This window comes from Homo sapiens, chromosome 11 (genome assembly GCF_000001405.40).
Source record: "Homo sapiens chromosome 11, GRCh38.p14 Primary Assembly".
In the NCBI taxonomy this organism is placed as follows: domain Eukaryota; kingdom Metazoa; phylum Chordata; class Mammalia; order Primates; family Hominidae; genus Homo; species Homo sapiens.
The window spans coordinates 110,393,256-110,417,092 of record NC_000011.10 but is presented as its reverse complement, the minus strand read 5'-3'; the positions used below and the strand labels follow the sequence as shown (position 1 = coordinate 110,417,092).

The 23,837-nt window shown below is 41.4% G+C and overlaps 1 long non-coding RNA gene across 1 annotated transcript in view; it reads right to left on the bottom strand.

Annotated features, from left to right (window-relative positions):
• Positions 1-10,184: 10,184 nt before the first annotated feature.
• LINC02732 (long intergenic non-protein coding RNA 2732) overlaps positions 10,185-23,837 on the bottom strand; it is a 51,795-nt gene continuing 38,142 nt past the window's right edge. Inside the window, exon 4 of the long non-coding RNA NR_135100.2 lies at positions 10,185-10,849. This is a non-coding gene — a long non-coding RNA (long intergenic non-protein coding RNA 2732). The remainder of the gene's footprint in view (positions 10,850-23,837) is intronic.

Below are 23,837 nucleotides of genomic sequence, written 5' to 3'. Positions count from 1 at the left end.
CAAGGCAGGTGGATCACGAGGTCAGGAGAGCGAGACCATCCAGGCTAACACGGTGACACCCCGTCTCCACTAAAAATACAAAAAAAACTAGCCTGGCATGGTGGCAAGCGCCTGTAGTCCCACCTACTCGGGAGGCTGAGGCAGGGGAATGCCGTGAACCCGGGAGGTGGAGCTTGCAGTGAGCCGAGATCGCACCACTGCACTCTAGCCTGGGCAACAGAGTGAGACTCCATCTCAAAAAACAAACAAACAAACAAACCTTTAGCTGGACACAAAGCACTGATTGGTGGGCTTTTACAGAGTGCTGATTGGTGCATTTACAATCCTTTAGCTAGACACAGAGTGCTGATTGGTGCGTTTTTACACAGTGCTGATGGGTGCATTTACAATCCTCTAGCTAGACAGAAAAGTTCTCCAAGTCCCCACCTGACCCAGAAGTCCACCTGGCTTCACCCCTCACTATGATTTTATTATTGTTTATGTATATATTTTTTCAACCCTGTATTCAATAGTAGATGCTTAAGGTTCTACATGATCTATATAATTTAGGAGTAAACTCAGAATATATCATTATCTGAAATTTTTTTTAAGTATATGATTAGATCTAAGTTGATTTTGTCCCAAGAAATTGACATTCCACCCCAAGGCTATTTATAAATATAGCTAATGATATTGGTGAGTTTCCTAAACTTGAATTAAGGATATAACTGAGTCTGGGTATGGTGGCTCAGGTCTGAAATCCCAGAGCTTTGGGAGGCTGAGACAGGAGGATCACATGAGGCTAGGAGTTCGAGACTAGCCTGGGCAACATAGTGAAACCCTGTCTCTCTGAAAAAAACAAAAAAATTAAAATAGCAGAATGTTGTGGTGCACACCTGTAGTCCCAGCTGCTTGGGAAACTGAGCAGGGAGGATCACTTAAGCCCAAGAGTTTGAGGCTGTAGTGTGCTGGGACTACAGGCATGTGCCACTACACCCAGCTTTTTTTTCTAACTTCTTGAGCTGGGTACTTAGCTCATCAATTTTTAATTTTGTTTTTTTAAAAAAATATTTAAATGTTTCTAAGAATTTAAATTCCCTTGAAATAGTGTGTTTGGCTACATCAAATGAGTTTGAAATGTATTTCCTTTACATTTCAGTATCTTTATGACTTCAGTTTAAATATTTTCAAACTTCCACTCTGTTTATTCTTTGATAGTGAGTTATTTGGAATTGTTTTTAAATTTCTAGATGTACAAAAATGTATGAAAGCCAAGAACACCACAGGAAAAAAAGGTCACTAAACTTGAAAACACAGCAGTAGAAACTTTCAAAATGATAGACAAAGAGCAAAAAGACTGAAAAAAGAAAAAAACTAGCATCATTGACTTGTGGGACAAAATCAAATGGTCTACTTCTATTTGGAGTCCCAGAAAGAAAGAACTAGAATAAAGCTGAAATTAAAATACAGTCTTGAGCCACTTAATGAGGAGGATACATTCTGTGAAATGTGTCATTAGTCTATTTGGTCTTGTGCAAACATACAGTGTATTTACACAAACCTAGATCATATAGCTTATTGAACACGAGGCTATATGGAATAGCATATAGATTCTAGGCTACAAACCTGTTCAGCATGTTACTATACTGAATACTGTAGGTAATTATAACACAATAGTTAGCATTTGTGTATTTAAACATATCTAAATATAGAAAAGGTACAGTAAAAATACAGTATAAAAAGTTAAATATGGTACACCTTCCAGGTCACTTAATGTGAATAGAGCCTGCATGGCTAGAAGTTGTTCTGGGTGAGTCAGTGGCGAGTGAATGTGAAGGCCTGGCATATTATGGTACATTACTGCAGACTTTATAAACACTGTACACTTCGGCTACACAAATTTATAAAAAATGTTTTTCTTTCTTCAATAACAAATTAACCTTAGCTTACTGTGACATTTTTACTTTATACTTTTTTTAATTTTTCTAGCTTTTTGACTTGTTTGTAATAACACTCAGGTTAAAACACAGACATATTGTACAGTAGTATAAAAATATTTTATTTCTCTATATTCTTATTCTATAAGCTTTTTTTCTATTTTTAAAACTTTTTTTGGTTTACTTTTTAAACTGTTTTGTTAAAAACTAAGACACAGGTCTGGGTGCCGTGGCTCATGCCTATAATCCCAGCACTTCGGGAGGCTGAGGCAGGCGCATCACGAGGTAAGGAGATCAAGGCCTTCCTGGCTAACACGGTGAAACCCCGTCTTTACTAAAATAAAAATAAAAAAAATTAGCCAGGCGTGGTGGCAAGCACCTGTAGTCCCAGCTACTTGGGAGGCTGAGGCAGGAGAATGGCGTGAACCCAGGAGGTGGAGCTTGCAGTGAGCCAAGATTGCACCACTTCACTCTAGCCTGGGCGACAGAGCAAGAATCTGCCTCAGAAAAAAAAAACAAAAACAAAACAAAAAAAAAACTAAGACACACACACATGAGCCTAGGCCTGTACTGGGAGAAGATCCTCAATATCACTGTTTGCCACCTCCACATCTTGTCCCACTGGAAGGTCTTCAAGTGCAATAACATGCATGGAGCTGTCATCTCCTATGATAACAATATCTTCTTCTGGAATCCCTTCTGAAGGACCTGACTGAGGTTGTTTTACAGTAAACAACTTTTTTATAACTACTCTAAAATAGTGATAAAAAGTCGGTGAAGTAGGTTTATTTACAACAGCATCACCAAAAATGTGAGTAATGTGTTGCACTACAGTGATGACAGCTACATCATTAGGTGATTGAAATTTTTCACCTCCATTAGAGGAGCTAAAAATGGTAGGCTTATGGGACCATTGTTGACCAAAACGTCATCATGCAGTACATGGCTATATTTTTAAAACAATAAAAATTGATGGAGCTTATTGCCATCAGACCCTCACTAAACAAAGGTATAACTGAGGGTGGCCTCAACAGCCAGAATGGAACTGAGGCCTCCCTTCAATGGTCTAAGAACCGAATCCTGTCAACAGTCACTGGAGTGAGCTAGGAAACTGATCCTTTCTTACTTGAGCTTTGAGATGACCACATCCCCAGGTGATATCTTGATTGTGGCCTATGAGAAAAACCCTGAAACAGTGGATCCAGAGAAGCTATGCCAGATTCTAACCTCCAGAAACTGAGATAATAAATGCTGTTTCAATTCATCAAGTTTTGGAGTAATTTGTTAGGCAGTAACAGATGCATAGCTAATGCAACATTCTTCAAGAATAGTGAAATTGAACCCAAAGGATGGGACAAAGAGGCAAGAAAAAATGATATACAAAAAATTAGCAACAATGTGGGTAAATCTAAGCAATGATCAATTGGAAAACAATGACAACAACTATGATTTCATCATAGGGTGTTTTTTAAAGAGCAAGATAGAACTATATTACTGGACCAACATTCATGTGGAACAGGAACAGAGTAACAAGAGCTAATGAGTGTTATTGGCAAGATGCTTTCTCCCTTTCCTCCTTTTAATAATGGAATACCATGAATTTTAGTGGAGCACATGGCTTACTAGCCAGAGACCATCTTTCCCAGCTTCTGCTACAGATAGGTATGTTCCTATAACAAAGTTTTTGCTCATGGGATGCAAGTAGAAGTGATGAATGCAACCAGATAACCATTTTACAAGAAAGCTACTTGTTTTCCTCTAAATTTTCTTTCCCATTGGCTAGAAAATGGCAACTGGAGTGATCACATGAGATCCAAGAATGAAAGCTAAACAAGATGGCAGAGCCAATCCACGAACCTGGGTCCCTGCATGACCTCATGAAGCAGAGCCGCCCACCACTGTTGAAGGCACAGTGCCCAAGCCCCAGCCTATTCTGAATTGTCGCATGGGAGAGGATAAACATTTCTCCTAGTTAAGATACTTATTTTAAAGTCTCCTTGTTACAGCAGTTCAGCGTCTATCCTGACAAATACATCACTTGAACTCCAAAAGAAAGAAGAGAAGGAGGGAAAAACATCATAGTAAAAGCACATATTTTAAAAAGCATGAAATGAATTGTTGAAAATAAGGTCAAATATATCAAAAGTCAGTAGGTTAAAAGCACCAATGAAAAAGTTGATTTTCATTTAGGATGAAAAAAATCTGACTCTACCACATTTAGGAAAGACACATCAAAAATATAAAGACACAGAAAGGTTGAATATCAAATAATAGAAAAAGAAATACTAGGTAAATACAATGAAAATAAAGCTAGTTTGCTATATTGCTGTCTGATTAAATGGACTTTCAAGGAGAAAATGCATTATAAAGGATAAATGTATTCATATGTAATGTTAAACATTTAAACTAACCTGGAATATATAGCAACTCTAAGTCTGCAATTATCTAATCTATATGTGTGTGTGTGTATGTACACATATACATGACAGAATTACACGGAAAAATAGACAAATATACAATCACATTCAGAGATTTTTTTGACATACCACTCTCAGTAATAGATCAAACATTAAGTAAGAATGTAGAAAACTTGACACATATACTAACCTTTACTTAACAAATAATCCAATTCCCCAGTAAACACAGAGGGAACACTTACAAAAATGGACAATGTACTGGGTAATAAAGTTTCAGTAAGTCTCAAAAAATCGGTATCATAGCGACCACAATGTAGTTGAAATAAGCTAGAATAAAGGCTATTTACCCACCTCCATTCTAAAGTTTAAGTACTTCAGAAAATGGATAGAAACTTTTGAAATGGATTTATATGTGGGCTAACTACCCCTGAGCTCTGTAGAGAGTTTTGATATTTTAAGGTTGGCATATTATGTTTTCAGTACTATCTTGCACCGCAGCATGGAAACATGGATTAGTAGCTCTTAATTGATACTCTCATTATTAATTAATAAAAGTGAACTGCACAATGTTATTTAAGTCAGAAAAAAATGGCCGTCACAGTGGCTCTCACCTGTAATCCCAGCACTTTGGGAGGCCGAGGCAGGCAGATCACGAGGTCAGGAGTTCAAGACCAGCCTGGCCAACATGGCAAAACCCCGTCTCTACCAAAAATACAAAAATTAACCGGGCGTGGTGGTGGGCACCTGTAATCCCAGCTACTCAGGAGGCTGAGGCAGGAGAATGGCTTGAACCTGGGAGACGTAGGTTGCAGTGAGCCGAGATCCTGCCATTGCACACCAGCTGGGCGACAAGAGCAAGACTCCGTCTCAAAAAAAAAAAAAAAAAAAAAAAGGTCTGAAACTTCTTTAACTCTACAATTTTAGAAATGTAGTATAGGCCATAGGCCGTCTTATTGCCCAGGCTGGAGGGCAATGGCATGATCTTGGCTCACTGCAAACTCCACCTCCCAGGTTCAAGTGATTCTTCTGCCTCAGCCTCCCTAGTAGTTGGGATTACAGGCATATGCCACCATTCCCAGCTAATTTTGTATTTTTAGTAGAGATGGGATTTCACCATGTTGGTCAGGCTGGTCTCAAACTGCAGACCTCAGGAGATCCACCCCGCTTCGGTCTCCCAAAGTACTGGGATTACAATTGTGAGCCACCACGCCCAGCCTAGGCTATATTTTTAATTTTGGAAATTTGAGCCAAACTATTTCTTGCCAAGAGTTTCCAAAGATCCATTTTCACCAGGAATAAGAAAACCACCCAGTGCATGTGTGCATCTATGTGTGAAAGTCCCAGTTGAAACAGATTTGGCATTGCCCTTGAGTGATAGCAGTGATTTGATTTTCTTGCCCATAGCTCAAAAGTTTTCTTTAGCCTCAGACCTGGACTAAGTCATCTCAAATTGTTTATAGAATAAAAATTAGAATATTGTGCACCTAATTCATCTGTGGTTCAGATGAATGTGTAGTATGTGGTGCCATTTATTCCTTCCTGGCATGTTTCATTTTAATTTTTTTAGTACAAAACATGTAATACGTGGACTTAAGTTTCATGTCTTTGCAAAAGATTGCTACTGTGGTGTATTCATTCTCTATTGCTACTGTAACAAATGTATTATTTTACAGTTATGTAGGTCAGAAATCTGCAACAGGCCTCACTGGGCTAAAATCAAGGCATCAGGTGGGCTGTACTCCTTTCTGGAGGCTCCAGGACAGAATTTGTTTCCTTGTCTTTTCTGGCTTCAAGAGGCTATATGTGTTCTTGGATTACTTCCTCTATCTTCAAAGCCAACTAGCTAGTCAAGTCCTCCCCTCACATCTCCCTGACCCTTCTTCTGTCATCATATCTCTCTGACCTCAGCAAGAAAACTTCTCTGCTTTTAAAGGCTTGTGATTAATTTGGGCCCTGGCTGATAATCCAAGATAATCTCCTATCTCAAGGTCTCTACCCTGAATCACATCTGTGAAATGTTTAGGATGTTAGCCATGTTAAGGAGCATATTCACAAATTTCAAGGATTAGGGCATGGACATCTATGGGACCATTATTTTGCCTCCGGTACTTGGGTTTATATATCAAACAAGTTCAGCATTGACACTAACCATGAGAGAGTCCTTTCTAAGGACAGAATTGTAACACAAATATACAAAATTGTATATTCGTTCATTTTTCCACTTTCCAAGCTTTTTCTGACAACTGTGCATTAATTAAGGTTTCAAGACTTTCCTCAACATACACATTAGAAATAATGTGTGTGATGCCTGCCATAAGTACTATATCCAAAGAGTCTGCAGTCATAGGAAAATTTTCACTAATAAAAGAATAAATATAATAATAGCTACCATGTGTTGAGTGTTTACTGTATGCCATGCATTCTTCTAGATGCTTTACATGTTTTGACTTAATTTTTCTTTTTTTTTTTTTTTTGAGACAAAGTTTCACTCTTGTTACCCAGGCTGGAGTGCAATGGCACAATCTCGGCTCACCACAACCGCCACCTCCCGGCTTCAAGCGATTTTCCTGCCTCAGCCTCCCAAGTAGCTGGGATTACAGGCATGTGCCACCACGCACGGCTAATTTTGTATTTTTAGTAGAGACGGGGTTTCTCCATGTTGGTCAGGCTGGTCTCAAACTCCTGACCTCAGGCAATCCGCCCACCTTGGCCTCCCAAAGTGCTGGCATTACAGGCGTGAGCCACTGCACCTGGCTGTTTTGACTTATTTAATCTTCACCAAAAACCCTATAAGGTGGGGATCAGCATCCTTACCATTTTACTGATGAATAAACTAAAGTACAGTGTATATTTAAATTAAATGAGGTTTGGGGTGTCACCAAAAGAAATGATATTAGATAGCCTTTGGTATAGTAGTTTTTATAACAAGTAAACACAGCAGGTATAGTACATATTTTATATAGCATTCAACTCCTTAAAATTGATTTATTTACCTTTAGAGTTGAGAGGAAAATAGAATGGAATGCACACATTTCCACTTCTTTGAATCTGAAAGAAATGCTTCTGCTGGTGTGTGCATGTGGAGAGAGAGAGAGAGAGAAAGAAAGAGAAACAGGGAGAGAGGGAGTTTAATTGACTCAATATAAAACAAAATTTCCTCCAGCTCTGTTTCTCATCTTGTTTCTGCCACTTTGCTCTAGGATATTTGTTCAAGACATCAGATATGTGTAATGTCACCTTTGGAGTTTATTAATATGCAGTTATTAATTTGGAATTACTAATATGAAGGATGGATAAGAGCCCAACAATGAAGAAACTCCTGTTAACAGCGCTGGGAGAGTTAACAGTTCAAGGCCAGTGGTCACGAATGCACCACTTCATCTCTCTGGTTTAAGATTGAGTAATTTAAGATTGAGCAATTACCAAGCTTCCTTGAACTTGGCTGACAATATACTTCGGATTACAAAGTAATATTTTGCTTTCTTTCAATGCCAATTGTTATTTACAAGAGGTTTTAAACATTAACTGTGAAGCTTCCTATTTGGGGGACACTTTGAAGAATCTATCAAAACTCACCTTAAATTTCAACTTCTCAACTCTTTCTTTAAAAGCTTCTTCACGCAAATTAAAATCACTCTGCATGTCATTTTTCCTATCAGATTATTTAAAAATTCAACATTTGAACACATTGTGTTGGTGAGGCTGTTGGAAAACAGGCACTCTGATACATTGCTAGTTGTGCAAAATAGTCTCAATTTTGTTAAGGCCAATATGACATTTTTTTAATGCGCAAATTAATTTACTCTTTAACCTAGGGTTCCCACTTCTGGGAATGTATTCTACAGATCCACCTGTACATAATATAAAATGAAGTCTGCACAGTGTTATTTATTTGCAGCATTTTCTGCAATAGCAAAATGTTAGAAACAAGTGTCCTTCTTTAGGAGATTCATTCAATAAACTATGGTTCTGCCCCACAATTGAATAATATGAAGCTGAAAAAAAACTAGAGAGAAGGTGGCTCACTGTGTACTGATGTATGGTAATTTCCAGAATATACTATTAAGTGAAAAAAGTGAAATGTCTAACAGGAAAAGGGAGAAAATAAGAAAATTTATATTTATATCATTTGAACTTGGCATAGAAAAACACTGGAAGGATAGATAGGAAAAAATGGGAGCAGGAAAAAGGGTAGACAGGTAAGGTAGGAAGTTGGACTCCTCATTGTGTGACTTGTGATAGTGTTTTAAATTTGGGCAATGTAAATGCATTGCCTACTCAAAACTAAACAAAACAAAATAAGTGAAAGTTTCAAAAGAAAAAAGATTCCTCTATTTGTCACAGATTTTCCTAAGCATGTTGTACTTTGTAATAATCATGTATGTGCACTCAACTCATTCAGCAAGGCATGAGCAAAGGGGGAAAATGCAACAGTCTCTTAATAGAGAAAACTTAAAGTCTGGGTATGGTGGCTCACACCTGCAATCCCAGCACTTTGAGAGTCCCAAGCAGGAGGATCACTTCATCCCAGGAGTTTGAGATCAGGCTGGGCAACACAGGGAGACCCTGCCTCTACAAAAAAAAGTTCTTAAATAGCTGGGTGTGGTGACATGAGCCTGTAGTCCCAGCTACTCGAGTGGCTGAAGCAGGAGGATCACTGGAGCCCAGGAGGTTAAGGCTGCAGTGAGCCATGTTCATGCCACTGCACTCCAGTCTGGGCAACAGAGCAAGATCCTATCTCAAAAAATTAGAGCCAGTATGTGAGAAAAAAACTAGATTTAGGAGATCACAAAATGATATATTTCCTAGCTAGAAGGTTCTAAATGATACTTTGTCATTTTTATAGATTAAGAAACCTGAAGCCCAAATGTTAAATGACTTACCATATTTACTCAGCTAATTTATGGAGAACAAGAGTAGAATCTCAGGACCCTTGATTAATGATCTCAATGTTTATGTTGTTATACCTTAATGCTGCTCTACATATTAATGAATAATAAATCACTCTAATGAGGTAAAAATAACGTGTGTAAACTGTTTAAGCATTTTAACAGACATTATCTATTTTGACTATCATAGTATTATTATGATAAGGTAGTTGTCTTCGTCCATTTTGTGTTGCTATAACAGAATACCTGAAGCTGGATAATTTATAAAGAGAGGTTTATTCGTTTCATGGCTCTGTAGACTGAGAAGTCCAAGGGGTGTGGCATCAGCATCTGCTTGGCTTCTGGTAAGGGCTTTTGTGCTGGGTCATAACACAGAGAGAGGTCAAGAGGTAAGCAGACATATGTGAGGATGCAAAACACTAGAGGCAACCTCACTTTTATAACAACTTGCTCGAGCAAGAACTAATCTATTCCTGTAAGAACTAATCCAGAGGAGGCCGGGCACAGTGGCTCACACATGTATCCCAACACTTTGGGAGGCCGAGACAGGTGGATCACTTGAGCTCAGGAGTTGGAGACCAGCCTGAGCAACATGGTGAAACCCCATCTCTACTAAAAATACAAAAAATTAGCCGTGTGTGGTGGCTTGTGCCTGTAGGCACAGCTACTCCGGAGGCTGAGGCAGGAGAATCACTTGAATCCAGGAGGTGGAGGTTGCAGTGAGTCTGTGTCCGGAATTGGTTCCTTCTGGTGGGTTCTTGGTCTTGCTGACTTCAAGAATGAACCCATGAACCCTCACAGTGAGTGTTACAGTTCTTAAAGATGGCGTGTCCAGAGTTTGTTCATTCAGATGTTCAGATGTGTCCGAAATTTCTTCCTTCCAGTGGGTTCGTGGTCTTGCTGACTTCAGGAGTGAAGCCACAGACCTTCGCAGTGAGTGTTACAGCTCTTAAAGGTGGCATGTCTGAAGTCGATTGTTCCTCCCCATGGGTTCGTGGTCTCGCTGACTTCAGGAGTGAAGCTGAAGACCTTCGCAGTGAGTGTTGCAGCTCATAAAGGTGGTGTGGACCCAAAGAGTGAGCAGCAGCAAGATTTATTGTGAAGAGTGAAAGAACAAAGCTTCCACAGCATGGAAGGGGACCCGAGTGGGTTGCCACTGCTGACTCAGGTGGCCAGCTTTTATTCCCTTATTTGGCCCTGCCCGCATCCTACTGATTGGTCCATTTTACAGAGTGCTGATTGGTCCGTTTTTACAGAGTGCTGATTGGTGCATTTACAAACCTCTAGCTAGACACATAGCACTGATTGGTGTGTTTACAATCCTCTAGCTAGACAGAAAAGTTCTCCAAGTCCCCACCCAACCCAGAAGCCCAGCTGGCTTCACCTCTCAATCTCCCCACTTAACAAGACACCCCAACTGCTGTTGGGAATTGGGTGATGACCACTCTAGCTACTTCCTGCTGGATAGGGGCAAAGAAAGGACCCTGCAGTTGTAGTGTCCTCCAGAGGGGAACTCTTTAGGCCATTGAAAGGGCCAGCGGGTTGGTCCAGGGGTCCTTGGTAGTTGTTAGTTGAGCTCATTTGGGGTTCCATTTGTAAGATCATCTGTAGCTTGATAGCCTCGATCCTAGAGGAAACAAATTTGACAAGGAGGTTAAAAATACCGGGCCCGAAGGTGAGTAATAGCAAGATGGCTGCCATGGGACCTAGAAAGGGGAGAAGCCATGTTGCCAACTCCAGAGGCTGGTATAAGAGCTTGAAAGATGTTGTCTGATTTTGGAAGCCTTTTCCTGTAAATGCCGGGTAGCATCTCGTACTATCCCTGACTGGTTAGTGTAAAAACAACACTCTTCCCCTAAGAAGGTGCAGAGTCCTCCTTTCTCAGCAGTGAGGAGGTCTAGCCTCAGCAGTTTTGGAGAGTCACTGCTGCGAAAGAGTCTATTTGGGATTCTGGAGTAAGGATAGATTTCGTTATCTCTTGCAAACTGTCAGAGAAATCCTTTGAGAGTGTGTGGCAGTAGGATAATGAAGTAGATAAACCGGCTATTCCGGTTCCTTTAGCAGTAGCCATTCCTAACCCTATAAGTAGGGGTATTAGTTGTATGGCTCTGTGCTGACAGACTTGAGCTTTGAGGGATACTGATAGGGTCTGATTTCCTGGGGCAATGTTAATGTTAGGACTTAGAAAGACTAAGGTACAGATGCCTGTCCAGTTAGTGGAGAGGCAGATATGTTGATGTTCCACATAAGAAGAATATACATTGGCTGGGTAGACAGAACTGGTTGTGTATGTTAAAAAGGTGTGTGAGTTTGTTATTTTCATTTTCCCATACTTCTAGAGTAATTGCCAAGGTAGCTCCAGTGAAGGAATGGAAAGGGGTGTTGGGAGCAAACTGAGTGGCTCCCTGTGTTCTATTTTCCCATTGGAGAAAAAGCCTTTTTGTATCTACTAGGAACCATTTGAGAGAGTGATTGAAAGAAGGGATGAGAAGGCATTCACTAGTGGTGGGGGCACTGATGCAGGGGGTCCAGGGATGAATGGTCATGGAGGGAGTATGTTTGTCATTACAAAACTTGGACTGTTTGTTAAGCAGGGAGGAGGTGATGATTTTTGGGGACCCAGAGAAGTGGACAAACTGTCTGAATGGAGCTGTTTGAGTGACTCGGAAGTTACTATGATCAGTTGGGCCTTGAAGTTGTTGGGTATAATTACACTGATGGGGTAGTAGGTGCCCCAGGGGCAGACCTGATAACAGGTTGCGTTGGATGCATAAAGGGGCTTGGAAAGTTAAGATGGTATTCATAGTTACAGGGCCATGTATGGGCTTTTCATTGCTTGTGTAATAGGTGACGTTGGAAATGTAAGAACACAAAAGTTGGATTGCATGTCCTGTTAGTATATTCTTGGTCCTATCAGAGATGGGGAAGTTGGCTAATGATTGCATATTTAGAAGTTGGAAAGGGTCTTTTCCTTCATAACAAGGGTGGTAGGTTAAGTTGGTAAAGACCCATTTTTTTGCGGGAATGGGAGGTTCCACCTGGCAGCAATTTTGGCCTCAGCATCTGCCTGACGGTTTCCTTCTGCCTTTTGTCCTTCACTTTTCTGATGGCTTTGGCAGTGTAAGACTGCCACTTCCTTGGGTTTTTGCACTGCATTCAATAACTCCATAATTTCCTTGTGGTATTTAATGAGGGTTCCCCCAGAGGTTAGGAACTCCCTTTCTTTCCATATTGCAGCATGGGCATGTAGGATTAGATAAGCATACTTGCTAACTGTACACACATTTATTCTTCTTCCTTTTCCCAGTTCTAAGGCTCAGGTAAGTGCCACTAGTTCTGCTAACTGGGAGCTGGTCCCTGGGGGAAGAGGCTTACTTTCAAGTACCGTTACTAACTATGGCATAACCTGCCCTTCATATCCCATTCTTCACAAATGAACTTCCATTGGTATATAGGTTAAGGTCAGAACTAACTAAGGGGACTTCTAAGAGATCATCTCGGGTGGCATAAGTCTGGACTATAATTTGTTGGTGGTCATGCTCAATTGGTTCCCTATCCTCTGGGAGAAAAGTGGCAGGGTTGAGGGCCACACACGTACGTATTTGAAGCACCGGTCCCTCAAGGAGTAGCACTTGGTATCTAAGTAGGCAGTTGTCTGATAGCCATAAACTTCCTTTGGCACCTAGTATGCCATTTACATCATGAATGGTCCAGACAGTGAGATCCTTTCCTTGTATTATTTTTATAGCCTCTGACACTGAGATGGCCACTGCCACAACTACACATAAACAGTGAGGCCAGCCTTTTGCTACTACATCAATTTCCTTACTTAGGTATGCCACTGGTTGTGGGGATGTCCCATGAGTCTGAGTAAAGACTGCAAGAGCTATCCCAGCTCCTCTGTTACGTATAAAGAGAAGTTTTGTCCTGTGGAAGGCTTAAAGCTGGAGCTTGTACTAGTGCCTGCTTTAAGGTTTTGAAGGCTGTTCCTGCCCCTGGTTCCCATTCTACTAGATGAGTATTTGCCCTCTGGGTCTCCTTGATTAGAGTATAGAGGGGCCTGGATATCTCACTGTATCCAGGGATGCATAGTCAGCAAAATCGGTGATTCCAAGGAACCCCCGCAACTGTTTTAATGTCTTAGGGCAAGGATAAGCCAGTATAGGCTGTATTCATTCCTTGCTGAGGGCCCTGGTTCCTCTGGCTAAGATTAGGCCTAGATATTTGACCTGCTGTAGGCAAAGCTGGGCCTTCGACCTAGATGCCTCGTACCCTTGATTTGCTAGAAAGCTCAAGAAATCTAGAGTAGCCTGCTGGCATGAGGCTTCTGAACTGGTAGCCAAAAGTAAATCATCCACATACTGAAGGACCAGAGTGCCTGGACTTGAGAAGTGGCCTAGATCTTGAGCCAGTGCCTGACCAAAGAGATGAGGGCTATCCCTAAACCCTTGGGGCAAGATGGTCCACGTAAGTTGGGATGTGTGGTCTGTGAGATCCTCAAAGGCAAAGAGAAACTGGGAGTCAGAGTGCAGGGGAATACAGAAGAAGGCATCCTTGAGGTCCAGAGCAGTGAACCATTTTGCTTCCTCTGGTATTTGAGAGAGCAGGGTATAGGGGTTGGGTACAACTGGATATAGAGGAATTACTGCCTCACTGATGAGTCTAAAATCTTGCACTAGTCTCCACTGATCATTTGGTTTTTGTACTCATAGAATTGGGGTGTTGCAGGGACTGCTGTATTTCCTTACTAAGCCTTGAGCTTTTAAATGTTTAACAATATCCTGTAATCCTTTATGAACTTCAGGCCTTAAGGGATATTGTCTTTGATAAGGAAAAGTGGTGGGATCTTTTAGCCTGATTTGGACTGGGTGGGCATTTTTTTGCCCTTCCACATTGTCCTTCCAATGCCCAGACTTCAGGGTTGAGACCCTCCTCAAGTAGGGGACAACGAATGGGTAACTTGTTCCCCATATTCATGTAGATAATAGCTCCAGCTTTGGCTAACATATCCCTCCCTAATAAGGGTGTGGAACTTTCAGGCATAACAAGAAAGGCATGTGAAAAGAGCAAAGTCTCCCAATTACAACAGAGGAGGTGGGAGAAATACCTGGTTACAGGCTGTCCCAGGATTCCTCAGATGGTAATGGACCTTGAGGACAGTCATCCAGGATAGGAGATTAACACTGAGAAGGCCACACCAGTGTCCAGGAGGAAGTCAATTTCCTGGTCCTCAATGGTTAAACATAGCCGGGGCTCAGTGAGGGTGATGACAAGAGCTGGTGCTTACCCTGGGCACCATAAGTTCTGTTGTTGGATCATCTGGTTGGGAGCTTCTGGCCCAGAGAACCATCGTACTCTGGGGCAGTGTGCCTTCCAGTGATTGCCTCGGCAGAGTGGACATGGATGCGGAGGTGGCTTGTTTCTCATTGGACAATCTTTTTTAAAGTGTCCTTGTAAACCACACTGATAACAAGCCCTACCAGGTGATTGGCCTGCTCCATTTTCTGTCCTCTCTGAACCACCAAGGTTTGTTTGTCTGAGGGTCATGACTAAGGCTGTGGCCTTTCTCTGATCTCACTTTTCCTTTTGGGCCTGTTCTTCTTGGCCCCTATTATAGAACACTGAAGTTGCCAGGTTTAATAATGCCTCCAGATTTTGTTCAGGGCCCAGGGCTCGCTTTTGGAGCTTTCTTCTGATTTCTGCAGCTGATTGGGTAATAAGCTTATCTTTTAGAATCAATTGACCCTCTAGTGAGTCAGGTGACAGGGAAGTATATTTTCTTAAGGCCTCCCGTAGCCAATCGAGGAAGGCAGAAGGATTTTCTTCCTTTCCCTGAGTCATGGTGGACATCATTGAATAATTCATGGGCTTTTTCCTAATTATCCTTAGTCCTTCTAGAACACAGGTCAACAGATGTTTATGACTCCAGTCCCCATGATCTGAGTCAAGGTCCCAGTGGGGATCCATACTGGGGATGGCTTGCTGACCAGTAGGGAATTTGTCCCTTTCTTTGGCTGTCAGTCTATCATTTACTTGACTAAGATACCAGGTATCTCCAAACTCTTGGGCTGCAGCTAAAGCCACATTCTTTTCAGTAAAGGCCAGGGTTTGATCTAACAATAGCATGACATCTCTCCAATGAGATCGAAGGTTTGCCCTAGACCCTGTAGGACATCTATGTGCATATCATGATCATCTGAAAACTTCCCCAGGTCTGCCTTGATCTGCTTTAAATCAGAGAGGGAGAAGGGGACGTGTACCTGGGTTGGGCCAAATTCCCCTCCCCCTACAGCTTGAAGGGGACATAACCAATAGCCCGGGGGTTTTTGTGATCTTCTGGAGATTTCTTTGCTTATTTCCTTCTGAGCAGGGGAGATTAGAGGAGGCTTATCATTAATAGGAAAGGGAGCTATAGGGAGGCTAGGATATGGGGTAAGCCGAGAGGTCCTCCTGTGGGATGTAAATTGCAAGCTTTGCCTAGTTGTGTATTCTCCTTCAATGAAAAGAAAGCTTGGACATAAGGTATTTCACTCCATTTGCCTTCCCTCTTACAGAAAAGGTCAAGCTGCATGATAGTATTGTAATTTATACTTCCCTCAGGTGACCATTTTTCCCCATCAGAGAGAGAATATTGGGGCCAGGCTGTAGTGCAGGAAAAAAAATGAGCCACCTCTTTTTCAGGGTTTGCAGATCAAATTGGTCCCAATGGCTTAGGATGCATTTCAAGGGTGAGCCTGTTGATGTCTGAGTGTTTCCCATCTGAAAGACAAAACCACCCACCGTTTTGGTTTGTTTGTTTCTCCCCCTGCCCAAGAACCTGTGATGGTCCCTGGACCCTGCTGATCGGAATAGTTGCACTCACCAACACAGCAACAGAAACACTAGTTTTCCTCCTACACCACAAGGAGGACTGAGGAAGGTCAGAGTTAGTGGCCCTTACTGATGCATTCTCAAAAAGCTGGACCCTTGCCTGTCCTCCTAGACCCCAAAGAGGACCAAGAAAAATCGGATTTAGTGGCCCTTACTGACACATTCTCAAAAACCTGTTAGAGCCCTAAGCTTTCTCCTGTTAGTATTGGGAGTTTGCCCCTGTACTATAAAGATGTTATGCCCCAAAAATGAAATGGAGGGCCATTCCCTGATTGAGGGAAGGGATCTCCAGGATTGGGAGAGTGACACCTTTTGTCCTCACTTATATGAATAGGAAGGATATAATTTCTGAGGCTCCTCATATCCTAGCTTCAGGAATAGCCTGTGTTAGGCCTGCTTGTATGAGGAGGGATCTTAAAAGGATAGTTGGTCTCCCCACTCAAAAATTATGTCTTTCTGATTGGTGAACCTGGGTGTTAAAAGAAGGGAATAGAGTCCTGGAGTTTATAGTAGAAATCATTCTTATAGGAGAAACTAGAAAAGCACCAGAGACAGGGAATGGTTTTTAGAAGTGGGACTAGTCTTGGAGAAGAGAGGCGAGAGGAAGTTTGTCTGACAGGCATTAGGACCCAGGGGGCAAGGGTCAGGATAGATAGGATAGATGGGCAAGTCTCGCTTGGGTGACATGACTTTGAGAGTTCCGCTCATGGCCACAGGGTCAACCAACTTGCTGTCAGGATCCCAGAGCTGAATGGCTTTCCTCTCTGTTGACCCTCGGCTCAACCCAGAAGTACAGGAAAAGCAGAAGCTGGTTCCAGGCAAACCAATGCTCCCAACTCTGAAGCATTGGGGATTGTTAGAGAGCCCTTTCCCAGAAAGCCTGACACCCATGTCTTTAGTCCGGCAACCACGCTAGTCGCTTTTAACTGGCTGACAGGTGCCTGGTATTTAGCCCCCAAATTCTAAGGAAAAATAGGACAGAATAGCAAGTGAAAGAGGCCCAATGCTGCTTACTGCTTGGCGATAGTCCCTTCATGGTTGCCAAAATGTGTCTGGAATTGGTTCCTTCTGGTGGGTTCTTGGTCTTGCTGACTTCAAGAATGAAGCCTTGGACCCTCGTGGTGAGTGTTACAGTTCTTAAAGATGGTGTGTCTGGAGTTTGTTCCTTCTGATGTTCAGACGGAACATCTATCCCCCTACAGCTTGAAGGGGAAGGGTGCATTCTACTTCTAACCGCTGTTTGCAATTGGGTAAATAAAGTCATTAGTTGTTCATCTGTATGAAATCATAACTAAGCATTTTCAATTAACTGTGTGGAATAAACCACGTATGAAGAATGAGAAATCACATTAATAGGCATATCAAAAGCAGTCAATATCTTAATTACCACCACAAGCTCTGCTTTTTGAGCTGAAGTATCGGGCGTCTGGAAAACTTTACCTTTTGATCCAGAATAAGAAGCTTTACCATTACTAGACACATCTGTGAAACGATGAAAATGCTTAGCAGGCTGCAGGTTGTTTACTGCAGGAATTGTAAATGTAAACCATTCACAGTCTTGCTCAGCTAAAGGGATAGTAAAGAAACAGTCTTTTAAATCTATGACTATTAAAGACCAATTTTTTGGAATTATACCAGAAGAAGGCAATCCTGGCTGTAATGCTCCCATAGGTTGTATAACTGAATTGATGGCTCTTAAGTCAGTTAGCATTCTCCATTTACCTGATTTTTTCTTAATTATGAAAACTGGAGAATTCCAAGGAGAAAATGTTGGAATTATGTGCCCATTTTCTAATTGTTCATTAACAAATGTCTCTAAAGCCTCCAGTTTCTCTTTACTTAGCGGCCATTGTTCTAACCAAATTGGCTTATTGGCTAACCATTTTAAAAGTATAGGTTCTGGAGGCTTAACAATGGCTGCCATCAAAAATTATTTCCTAATCTTTGGCAGGAACTTGGTCTTTCCATTTGAAGTGGTTTTTTCAAAACTTGCAAATTTTTTTCTAGTCCCATACCAGGGACATGCCCCATTTCATGCATCATATGTTGACTTTGAGGGCTATATAATTGTTCTGGAATTAGAACTTGTGCTCCCCATTGTTGTAATAAATTTATTCCCCCAAAATTTATAGGTACAGAAGTTATAATTGGTTGAATAGTCCCAGATTGTCCATTGGGCCCTTCACAATGCAAAATATAACTACTTTAATATACTTCAGCAGCTTTATCAACTCCAAATATGTTAAATTGAGCAGGTTGAATTGGCCACGCGGACGGCCAGTGCTGTAGAGAAATGATTGACATGTCTGCTCCTGTATCTGTCAAACCTTTAAATTTCTTTCCTTGAATAGTTATTTCACAGGTAGGACATTTATCAGTAATTTGATTTACCCAATAAGCTGCTTTGCCTTGTTTATTTGTGCTTCCAAATCCTCCTGTTCATTTAGTTTCATTTTTTCCCATTCTCATATATGGCACAATCAGGAGCTGTGCTATGCACTCTCCTGGCTCTGCTTTCCAGGGAACAGAAGTAGATATAATAATTTGAATTTCCCCATTGTAATCTGAATCAATGACTCCTGTATGTATTTGTACCCCTTTTAAACCTAAACTAGACCTTCCTAAAAGTAATCCTATTGTCCCCGCTGGCAAGTGTCCACAGACTCCTGTTGGGACCTTTTGCAGGGGTTCCCCAGGTAGAAGGCTCACAGCTTTTGTGCAGCATAAATCTACTGTGGCACTACCGGCTGTGGCAGGGGACAGACATTGTACAGGGGTAAGGGAATGGCCTGAGCCGGAAATGCCCCGGTTTAGAACAGGGCCCAGGACGGACCCCTCATGGCATTTCCCGAAATCAGGGTCCCATCTTTGTCAAACTTAGAGTGACACTGATTAGCCCAATATTTCCCTTTTTTACATTTTGGACATATTTCAGGATCAGCAGTTTTCCTTTTTCCCCATCTGGCTGCCTGACTCACTGATTTTTTTCTACATTCTTTTTTAGTATGACCATGCTTCCCATAGTTAAAACAAGCTCCAGGAAATGGAGTATTTCCTTTATCCACTCTCAGTCCTGCCATTTCCTGTGCCAACAAAGTAGCTTTATGCAGATTACCTCTGATACCATCACAGGCCTTGATGTAATCAACTAAATGTGCTTTCCCTCTGACAGGTTGCAGAGCAGCCTGGCAATCGGCATTAGCATTGTCAAAAGCTAATAACTGCAACACTATAACCTGAGCAGCCGAATCTGCAATCATCTTTTTAAGAGACTCCTGTAACTGAGCTATAAAATCAACATATGGTTCTCTTGGTCCGTTTTATAGCACTAAAGGAAGGGTAATGTTCTCCACCTATAGTGATTTTTTCCCAAGCTCTAATGCACACTCCTCTAAGCTGTTCTATGGCATCATCCTGCATGACCAGTTGCGCATCTAAACCAGCCCAGCCGCCAACCCCCAAAAGTTGGTCTACAGTTACATTAATTTGATGTTGGGCCTGGGCATTGCAAGCAGCCTGAATGGAAGCTTCATCTGCCCACCAAGTTTTAAATTGTAAGAACTGACCAGGAGTTAGACAAGCTTGAGTAACAGCATCCCAGTCAGTAGGAATCATCCAACTGGAAACAGCAACATTCTTTAACGGTCCCATTACAAAAGGAGAACCTGGTCCATACTGATTTATAGCTTGTTTAAATTCTTTGAGTAATTTAAAAGGAAAATGCTCAAATGTAGCTATAATACTTCCCCGTTGATCTGGGAGTTGTAGTCTAACAGGGAACTGCCAAGCCTCTAAATCACCCTCTCATCTAGCTTGCTGAATTCCTGCCTGAATAGAACTAAGAGCGGTCACTCAAGGTGCTGCTTGAACAGTCACTGGGACAACTACTTTTTGCCCGGTGTCCTCTGGAAAAGAAAGATCTGGAGGGTCTTTTTCTTCAAAATAATAATGAGGGGGTGCAGAAGGGTAGGGATGAATCTCTCCTTCCTTTGCCACTTTAGCTTTATATGGTTAATAAACATGCTCTGTAACCTCTTCTGTTACTTCACTATACTCTTGTTCCTCCTCATTATCAGTGTGAAAAGTTCCAAGGGGAAATGAACCAGACCCCACACCTGTTCCATTGTTACCCTGATGCTTCCGAGCTCCCCTTCTTACCATGGGGATTGCTTTAAGAGTACTCGGGTGTCCTCCAGCTAGTTTTCCCTTCCAACCATTGCTCCGGTGACCCTTCGACCTGGATTTGAGCCCCCACAAATGGACGCCACTTGCTGAGACCAGCTCGGTCAGGGAGACCCTAACCCAGAGGCACTAGAGGAATTAAAGACACACACACAGAAATATAGAGGTGTGAAGTGGGAAATCAGGGGTCTCACAGCCTTCAGAGCTGAGAGCCCCAAACAGAGATTTACCCACATATTTATTAACAGCAAACCAGTCATTAGCATTGTTTCTATAGATACTAAATTAACTAAAAGTATCCCTTATGGAAAACGAAGGGATGGGCCAAATTAAAGAAATAGGTTGGGCTAGTTAACTGCAGTAGGAGCATGTCCTTAAGGCACAGATTGCTCATGCTATTGTTTGTGACTTAAGAATGCCTTTAAGTGGTTTTCCGCCCTGAGTGGGCCAGGTGTTGCTTACCCTCATTCCCGTAAACCCAGAACCTCCCAGCTTGGGCGTTAGGGCCATTATGAACATGTTACAGTGCTGCAGAGATTTTGTTTATGGCCATTTTTGGGGCCAGTTTATGGCCAGATCTTGGGGGGCCTGCTCCCAACATGTGTGATGTGTCATATGAACAGAATGAAAAAAAAAATCTCATGATCATTTCAATTGATGCAGAAAACCATTTGATAAAATTCAACATCCCAGCCAGGTGCAGTGGCTGATACCTGTAATCCCAGTACTTTGGGAGGCCAAGGTGGGCAGATCACGAGGTCAGGAGTTCGAGACCAGCCTGGTCAACATGGTGAAACTCTGTCTCTACTAAAAATACAAAAATTAGCTGGGTGTGGTGGCAGGCACCTGTAATCCCAGCTACTCAGGAGGCTGAGGCAGGAGAATTGCTTGAACCTAGGAGGTGGAGGTTGCAGTGAGCCGAGATCACGACACTGCACTCCAGCCTGGGTGACAGACTGAGACTCCATCTTGGAAAAAAAAAAAATCAACATCCCTTTGTCATAAAAACCCTCAAAAAACTGGGTATAGAAGGAACATACCTCAACATAACAAAAGCCATATACCACAGACACACAGCTAGTATCATACTAAATGAGGAAAAACTGAAAGCCTTTCCCCTAAGATCTGGAACATGACAAGGATGGCCACTTTCACCACTGTTATTCAACATAGTACTGGAAGTCCTAGCTAAAGCAATCAGACAAGAGAAAGAAATAAAGGGCATTCAAATTGGAATGGAAGAAGTCAAATTATCCTTGTTTGCAGATGATATGATCTTATAGTTGGAAAAACCTAAAGATTCTACAAGAAAACTATTAGAACTGATAAATTCAGTAAAGCTGCAGGATACAAAAACAACATAGAAAAATCAGTAGCATTTCTATATGCCAACAGTGAGCAATCTGAAAAAGAAATTAAAAAGTAATCCCATTTATAACAGCTACAAATAAAATTAAATGCCTAGGAATTAACTTAATGAAAGGAGTGAAAAATCTCTGTAATGAGAACTATAAAACACTGATGAAAGAAATTGAAGAGGACAACAAAAAATGAAAAAGTAGTTCATGTTCATGGATTGGAAGAATCAATATGGTTAAAATGTCCATACCACCCAAAGCAATCTACAGATTCAGTGCAATCCCTATCAAAATACCACTTACATTCTTCACAGAAATAGATAAAAACTATTTTAAAATTTGTATGGAACCACAAAAGACCCAGAATAGCCAAACCTATCCTAAGCAAAAATAACAAAACTGGATGAATCACATTATCTGACTTCAAATTATACTACAGAACTATGGTAACCAAAACAGCATGACACTGGCATAAAGACAGACACATAGACCAATGGAACAATAGAAAACCCAGAAACAAATCCACACACTTACAGTGAGCTCATTTTTGATAAAGGTCTAAGAACATACACTGGGAAAAAGAATCTCTTCAATAAATGGTGCTGGGAATACTGGATATCCATATGCAGAAGAATAAAACTAGATCCCTATCTCTCACCATATAAAAAATTAAATCAGGCTGAGTGCAGTGGCTCATGCCTGTAATCCCAGCACTTTGGGAGGCTGAGGTGAGCAGATTACCTGAGGTCAGGAGTTTGAGACCAACCTGTCCAACATGGTGAAACCCCATCTCTACTAAAAATATTTTATAAAATTAGCTGGGCACCTGTAATCTCAGCTACTCAGGAGGCTGAGGCAGGAGAATCGCTTGAACCCGGGAGGTGGAGATTGAGATCACATCACTGCACTCCAGCCTGGGCGATGGAGTGAGACTCTGTCTCAACAAAAAAAAAAAAGAAAAAAAAAACAACTCAAAATTGATTAAAGACTTAAGTCCAAGACCCCAAACCATGAAACTACTAGAGGAAAACATTAGGGAAAATCTCCAGGACATTAGTCTGGGCAAAAATTTTTTGAACAATACCCCCACAAGCACAGGCAACCAAAGCAAAAATGGACAACTGGGATCACTTCGAGGTTAAAAACTTCTTTACAGAAAAGGAAACAATCAACAAAGTAAAGAGGCAACCCACAGAATGGGAGAGAATATTTGCAACATATTCATCTCACAAAGAATTAACAACAAGAATATATAAGGAGCTCGAACAACTCTGTAGGAAAAAAAATCTAATCATCCAATCAAAAAATGAGCAAAAGACTTGAATAGACACCTCTCTAAAGAAGACATACAAATGATAAACAGACATATGAAAAGGTGCTCAACATCATTGATCATCAGATAAATGCAAATCAAAACTACAATCAGATATCTATCATCTCGCCCCAGTTAAAATGGCTTATATCCAAAAAACAGATAACAACAAAGGCTGGCAAGGATGTGGAGAAAAGGGAACCCTCATACACTGTTGATGGGAATGTAAATTAGTACAACCTATATGGAGAATAGTTTGGAAGTTCCTCAAGAAAACGAAAAATAGAGCTACCATATGATCCAGCAGTCGCATTGTTGGGTATACAGTCACAAAAAAAGGAAACCAGTATATTAAAGAGATATTTGAACTCCTATGTTTGTTGCAGCACTGTTCATAATAGCTAAGATTTGTTTTCTTCTTTTTTTTTTCCTTTTTGAGACAGAGTCTCGCTCTGTCACCCAAGTTGGAGTGCATTGGCACAATCTCAGCTCACTGCAATCTCCACCTCCCGGGTTCAAGAGATTCTGCTGCCTCAGCCTCCCTAGTAGCTGGAATTACAGGTGTGCATCACCATGCCAGGATAATTTTTGTATTTTTAGTAAAGACGGGGCTTCACCATGTTGTCCAGGCTAGTCTCGAACTCCTGACCTCGAGTGATCTGCCCACCTCAGCCTCCCAAAGTGCTGGGATGATGGCGTGAGCCACCGTGCCCAGCCCATAATAGCTAAGATTTGGAAGCAACCTAAGTGTCCATCAACAGATGAATGGATTAAAAAAAGTACATATACACAATTGAATACCATTCAGCCATAAAAAATAATGAGATTTTGCCATTTGCAACAACATGGATGGAACAGGAGGTCATTATAAGTGAAATAAGCCAACCCAGAAA